Below are 7,582 nucleotides of genomic sequence, written 5' to 3'. Positions count from 1 at the left end.
CTACAGCAGTATAGGGAAGGGATTGGAAGGGAGGAAGATTGAAATCAGGGAAGCTGATTAGGAAATGATTGTAGTCATCCAGATGAGTGAGACAGCAACTTAAATTAAAGATTTGGCCCTGGAATGAGAGAGGAAAAAAAAAAAACAACACTTGACAGGTGTCAAGGAGTTGGGATGGCTGGTGTCATAGCAAAAATTGTGCCAAAGTTAAACAGACAAGACAACAGACTTTTTTCAAGGATATTGTCATGGGGAGAGAGAACAGAACTCTGAACTCAACTCCACTGAAAAGGAGGGTGGGAAGATTTGTAACAGCTGGATTGAGAGGGAGAACAGAGGTGGTTTGTGTTTGCTAAATGGCTTTACCCAAAGGAAAAGTCAACTTTCTCTTATCTTTCTGACAGGAGATAGTTTTACAACTTAGAGCAAGGTGCTGGCTGAAGTTAGGCTCCTACCCTCCCACAGAGCCTGGGACTATCTTCCTTGACATTTACATTTCAAAGAGATGGCTCTCAAGTCCTTGAGAAAAACAGGCCTACGTTGAAAAACTGGCAAAAGCCTTCTAAAAACATTTACACACATCTCAAAAGGACAGAGAAAGAATTTACATATTTCCCAAAGTAAATGCTCTAAGAAAAGGGAGATCAGGGCCTAGGGTCAAGAAGCCTGTCTAAAGTTTTGTCAAGCTGAGGGGAATGTGAAGGCTGTCTTGGTCAGTGGACGTGGATATGGGGGTTGAGGGGAAAGGAAGAGTTTAGAATGATTGGAGTCTAGAATGGTTTCTGGCTTAGGTTCTGGGTGGATGTTGATGCCATTTACTACCACTGTAGAGAAAACAGGAGGAAGAGAAGGTTGGTAAAAAAGACAAATTAAGTTTTGGAGACACTGAGCTCGTAGTGCTTTTAGGATATCTAAGTTGAGTTGGATGTATGGGTCTGTGACTCAGGAGTGGTGTCGGGAGGGTTTGGGAGGTAGGTTTAGGTGTAGTGAAAATATAGAGCTAGTAGAAGCTTCTGTGTGTGTGTGTGTGTGTGTTTTTTTTTTTTTTGAGACGGAGTTTTGCTCTTGTTGCCCAGGCTGGAGTGCAATGGCACGATCTAGGCTCACTGCAATCTCTACCTCCCAGGTTCAAGTGATTCTCCTACCTCAACCTCGCGAGTAGCTGGGAGTACAGGCATGCACCACCATGCCCCGCTAATTTTGTATTTTTAGTAGAGACAGGGTTTCTCCATGTTGGTCAGGCTGGTCTCGAACTCCCAACCTCAGGTGATCTGCCTGCTTCGGCCTCCCAGAGTGCTGGGATTAGAGGCGTGAGCCACCGCACCCAGCCAGCAGCTTCTGTGTTAACTCATTGCACAACTTATGTTTTGGTGGGACTAGTCTTGCACTCCCCTACCCCCAGTTGAGGGAGAATCCATATGGATTAAATGGAGTTTTGTGAAACAGTAAGATGCATCTAGTAAGTGCCCAATTCATTTGGTTAGTTTTATTATTATGGTTAACTAGAGGCTAAGGTAAATCAGAACAGGGGAATCAAATGGTCAACTGGTGAGTGTTATTGTAAAGCTTTTTCATTGTATTTTAGTGGCTGTGTTCTCTCAGGGACAAGTAGTTTTTACCAGAAATTCATTTTCCTTAGAATTAGCAAACAAAAACAAAACAACAAAACAAAAAAACCAACAAAAAAAGCAAAGAGGCAGCTCTCTCTAGAGTTCACATTCTGAATTTTTGCAAGACAATTGAGATTCCTTCTTCTTGACTGAGAAATAAGGAATCTCCTGGAAAGTGAAAAGAATAACCCCAAATAAGACCCATACCAAAAGTGGTTTGTTTTTAGAGTTTCACCAAATGATGGGAATGGAAAACAACAGCAATTGGTCTGTTCTCTTTGACTCAGTTCCTGCCTACTTTTCCTAGGGGTTAAATTTCTGTTCCTTTGCTGGAAAAAATCTTACAAAGAAGTAATTGGGGAAAAGGATGCATGTCTTAATTGCATCTTCCCCTGTGTGCTCCTGGAGCTTCATATGCTTATGGGAAGCCCAGAGCAGTGTCTTAATTGTAGGAATTTTCTGAAAAATGGAGAATGGATACTTCTGCACTATTGTGTTATGACTGGACAGCAGCCCAGCAGAGAATTGGATTTACCTGTGACAGCCTGACAGTATCCTTTGTCCAGTAGTGGCTGTTTCTGACATTTAAATGGTGAGGGATGGAAATGTGTGAACTGTCGAACTCTAACCTACCCTTGACTTCAGAGGCTGATGACAACTGTTCTTACTCTTTAGAATTTGGCATTGAAGTTTGTTTATAGCTAACAAAACTTTCCCATTATTAAGACCCAAATTTAGATTGGTGTTCTAAGAATTCTCCAAATGCTGTCCACATGCATTTTGCAGAGCCCTTTGAACATCAAATGGCTCTCACAAAAGAAGGCTTCTTATCAACTGAATGTGAAGGGGAACATGATTCAAAGGAAAAAAAAATTCCCACCACAGGCTTTTTGTGAGGTAAACCACAGAAGAGAGCTCTGCGTTGGGAAATTGCTTTCACTTAAGCTTATTATCAGACAAAGACTGTAGGGTTCTTATCTTTTCCCTGTCTGCATGTGCTGGGATCCTTGAAAAAGGTAGTTTTTCTCTGGCCCTGAAATATTTTTAATGTCTTTTAGATTTTTTGGTGTACTTTAGTGGCTGTGCCCTTTTTGGAGCAAGTGATTATTGACCAGAAGTTCATTTTCTTTAGAGTAAGTGAACAAGCAAACAAAAGCAAAGGGGCAGAGTTCTCCTGCAGAGGCTACTTTCTGAATTTTGCAAGCCAGTGCAGAGTCATCTGGGAATCGTGTATCTCTTGGAAAAGTTAAGAACAGGAAAAATCACAAATAAAATCCCAATCAATCACACACACAAAATCTGCTGTGGGGAGGAGGGTGCTGCCAATTTTCAGTGGCAGAGGAGTAACAGCTGGAGTCTAGCTGGGAGGGAAAGTGGGCTGGGCTGGATTCATGCTGCAAGGTCTCAGTTGGAAGGAAGCTGTCAGATATCAACTTGATATATTATCCTTTGCAGACAAACCAATACACATAAAAATAAATAGCAATCAATGTTAAGATCCCATAGCGCACATCGACACATGCAAGCACAAACCTCACAAACAGATTAGTCTGCCCTGCTTCCCTGTTTCGTGTGAGATTTAGGGGGAGGATGGGGGGAGGAGAAGGGATGAAGAGATGTCACTGTCTAATCATCCTAGGTGGGTCTTGATGCAGGTGTAGTGGATGAAGAAACTAATAGTCAAATATCATGTGTTTTTGGAAGGTATTTTAAAACAATTGACTCAGGGCATTCCATTTTGAAGCTTAGCTAGAGTGTCTGGGACTGACATTGAGTGTCAACAGTTTTCTTTTAAAATAAAATGATGCAGTTTAGTTTTTACCATGACACTGAGTAGAAGTCCTGCTAACTGAGGTCTAAGTTAAATTGTTGAAAAAGGAGAGCCATTTCAGGCAGTCTTTCGTTTTCGCCCTATGGCTGACCCCCACTGATTTTTAGCTCAGTATCGTTTTGTTATTAGACTAAAAAATCTGACCTCAAGGGATCCTTTAATGTGTGGATTTTCGAGATATACCTTACTGTGAATGACTGGGTTAATCTCCTGAGTTTTGAGAGCCGGTTTTGTTCCTTGAGTTTCTAAGTACCAGAAACCTTCTTTAAAAAATGTTGAGACTATGTAATTTGTAAATCCACTACAGATGATCAATTACACAGAATGGATTTTTTTTGGTCCCACATGATCACTTATATTTATTGCCTAAGATTAGATGCAACAATGTTGAATTCCAAAGTGTGCTTCCAGAAAGTGATTATAGCAAAATGAAACAAAACTAGGAGCTCTGATTTAATTGAAGCATTGGCGTCTGTTTGCAGGGATTGCAGAATCCAAAAAGAGATAAAGTGGTTCCAGAAGGGTAATATTTCCAGAACAAAGCAAAGCTTACCCTCACCTGTGAGTGTAAAACTAACATCCTCACTGTTGATCCAACACAGTTTTCACAATAATGCCAGGTAAGTCTCAAAATCATATCAGTGGCTTTCCAACATTTTAGACCATGACTACAGTAAGAAGTATTGATAGCTAGTGTACACACATAGTTTGTTTTAGGAGACAAAATACAGGTGATACACTGATTGTCTGCCCCGTGTCACATTTCCACCTATTCTATTTTATTCTACCTTGCCCCCAATACTGGCATGTTCTGCATTCACGTCCCACTAAGAGTTGTGAACTCCTGTTTGAAACCCCTGAGCTATTGCCAGTCATGCCAGTGTGTATCGAATATTTATTTTCTCTCCCTTTATTTTTTGTATTATACTTTAAGTTCTAGGGTACATGTGCAAAATGTGTAGGTTTGTTACATAGGTATACATGTGCCATGTTGGTTTGCTGCCCCCATCAAATTGTCATTTACATTAAGTATTTCTCCTAATGCTATCCCTCCCCCAGTCCCCCACCTGCTGACAGGCCCTGGTGTGAGATGTTCCCCGCCCTGTGTCCAAGTGTTCTCATAGTTCAATTCCCACCTATGAGTAAGAACATGCGGTGTTTGGTTTTCTGTCCTAGTGATAGTTTGCTGAGAATGATGATTTCCAGCTTCATCCATGTCCCTGCAAAAGACATGAACTCATCCTTTTTTATGGCTGCATAGTATTCCATGGTGTATATGTGCCACATTTTCTTAATCCAGTCTATCACTGATGGACATTTGGGTTGGTTCCAAGTCTTTGCTATTGTGAATAGTGCCACAATAAACATATGTGTGCATGTGTCTTTACAGTAGCATGATTTATAATCCTTTGGGTATATACCCAGCAATGGGATGGCTAGGTCAAATGGTATTTCTAGTTCTAGATCCTTGAGGAATCACCACACTGTCTTCCACAATGGTTGAACTAATTTACACTCCCACCAACAATGTAAAGCGTTCCTGTTTCTCCACATCCTCCCCAGCATCTGTTGTTTCCTGACTTTTTAATGATCGCCATTCTAACTGGTGTGAGATGGTATCTCATTGTGGTTTTGATTTGCATTTCTCTGATGACCAGTGATGATGAGCATTTACTCATGTGTCTGTTGGCTGCATAAATGTCTTCTTTTGAGAAGTTACTGTTCATATCCTTTGCCCACTTTTTGATGGGTTTGTTTTTTTCTTGCAAATTTGTTTAAGTTCATTGTAGATTCTGGATATTAACCCTTTGTCAGACGGGTAGATTGCAAAAATTTTCTCCCATTCTGTAGGTTGCCTGTTCACTCCGATGGTAATTTCTTTTGCTGTGCAGAAGCTCTTTAGTTTAATTAGATCCCATTTGTCTATTTTGGCTTTTGTTGCCATTGCTTTTGGTGTTTTAGACATGAAGTCCTTGCCCATGCCTGTGTCCTGAATGGTATGGCCTAGGTTTTCTTCTAGGGTTTTTATGGTTTTAGGTCTTACATTTAAATCTTTAATCCATCTTGAATTAATTTTTGTATAAGGTGTAAGGAAGGGATCCAGTCTCAGCTTTCTACATATGGCTAACCAGTTTTCCCAGCACCATTTATTAAATAGGGAATCCTTTCCCCATTTCTTGTTTTTGTCAGGTTTGTCAAAGATCAGATAGTTGTAGATGTGTGGTGTTATTTCTGAGGCCTCTGTTGTGTTCCAATGGTCTATGTATATCTGTTTTGTTACCAGTGCCATGCTGTTTTGGTTACTGTAGCCTTGTAGTATAGTTTGAAGTCAGGTAGCCTGATGCCTCCAGGTTTGTTCTTTTTGCTTAGGATTGTCTTGGCTATGTGGGCTCTTTTTTGGTTCCATATGAACTTTAAAGTAGTTTTTTTTCAATTCTGTGAAGAAAGTCATTGGTAGCTTGGTGGGAATGGCATTGAATCTATAAATTACCTTGGGCAGTATGGCCATTTTCACGATATTGATTCTTCCTATCCATAAGCATGGAATGTTCTTCTATTGGTTTGTGTCCTTTTTTATTTCATTGGGCAGTGGTTTTTAGTTCTCCCTGAAGAGGTCCTTCACATCTCTTGTAAGTTGTATTCCTCGGTATTTTATTCTCTTTGAAGCAATTGTGAATGGGAGTTCACTCATGATTTGGCTTTCTGTTTGTCTGTTATTGATGTATAGGAGTGCTTGTGATTTTTGCACATTGGTTTTGTATCCTGAGACTTTGCTGAAGTTGCTTATCAGCTTAAGGGGATTTTGGGCTGAGATGATGGGGTTTTCTAAGTATACAATCATGTCATCTGCAAACAGGGACAATTTGACTTCCTCTTTTCCTAATCGAATACCCTTTATTTCTTTCTCTTGCCTGATTGCCCTGGCCAGAACTTTCAACACTATGTTGAATAGGAGTGGTGAGAGAGGGCATCCTTGTCTTGTATCAGTTTTCAAAGGGGATGCTTCCAATTTTTGCCCATTCAGTATGATATTGGCTGTGGGTCTGTCATAAATAGCTCTTATTATTTTGAGATATGTTCCATCAATACCTAGTGTATTGACAGTTTTTAGTATGAAGGCTGTTGAATTTTGTTGAAGGCCTTTTCTGCATCTATTGAGATAATCATGTGGTTTTTGTCGTTGGTGCTGTTTATGTGATGGATTACATTTATTGATTTGCATATGTTGAACCAGCCTTGCCTCCCAGGGATGAAGCCCACTTGATCGTGGTGGATAAGCTTTTTGATGTGCTGCTGGATTCAGTTTGCCAGTATTTTACTGAGGATTTTTGCATCGATGTTCTTCAGGGATATTGGTCTAAAATTCTTTTTTTTTTTGTTATGTCTCTGCCAGGCTTTGGTATCAGGATGATGCTGGCCTCATAAAATGAGTTAGGGAGGATTCCCTCTTTTTCCATTGATTGAAACAGTTTCAGAAGGAACGATACCAGCTCCTCTTTGTACCTCTGGTAGAATTTGGCTATGAATCCGTCTGGTCCTGGACTTTTTTTGGTTGATAGGCTATTAATTATTGCCTCAATTTCAGAACCTGTTATTGGTCTATTCAGAGACTCAGCTTCTTCCTGGTTTAGTCTTGGGAGGGTGTATGTGTCCAGGAACTTAACCATTTCTTCTAGATTTTCTAGTTTATTTGTGTAGAGGAGTTTATAATATTCTCTGATGGTAGTTTGTATTTCTGTTGGATCAGTGGTGATATCCCCTTTATCATTTTTTATTGCATCTATTTGATTCTTCTCTCTTTTCTTCTTTATTAGTCTTGCTAGTGGTCTATCAATTTTGTTGATCTCAAAATAACAGGTCCTGGACTCGTTGATTTTTTTGAAGGGTTTTTTCTGTCTCTATTTCCTTCAATTCTGCTCTGATCTTAGTTATTTCTTGCCTTCTGCTAGCTTTTGAATTTGTTTGCTCTTGCTTCTCTAGTTTTTTAAATTGTGATATTAGGGTGTCAATTTTAGATCTTTCCTGCTTTCTCTTGTGGGTATTTGGTGCTATAAATTTCCCTCTACATACTACTTTAGCTGTGTCCCAGAGATTCTGGTACATTGTGTCTCAGTTCTCATTGGTTTAAAAGAATATCTTT

At 39.9% G+C, this 7,582-nt stretch overlaps 1 annotated feature.

Annotated features, from left to right (window-relative positions):
• Positions 228–855: an enhancer, noted in NCBI's record as "NANOG hESC enhancer chr14:49832955-49833582 (GRCh37/hg19 assembly coordinates)". NCBI's record gives its function as "activates a minimal SCP1, AML or CMV promoter by ChIP-STARR-seq in naive H9 embryonic stem cells {active_cell/tissue: H9 hESC(naive)}" and the evidence as "EXISTENCE:reporter gene assay evidence [ECO:0000049][PMID:30033119]".

This window comes from Homo sapiens, chromosome 14 (genome assembly GCF_000001405.40).
Source record: "Homo sapiens chromosome 14, GRCh38.p14 Primary Assembly".
NCBI lineage: Eukaryota > Metazoa > Chordata > Mammalia > Primates > Hominidae > Homo > Homo sapiens.
This window is presented reverse-complemented; position numbering and strand designations above follow the sequence as displayed.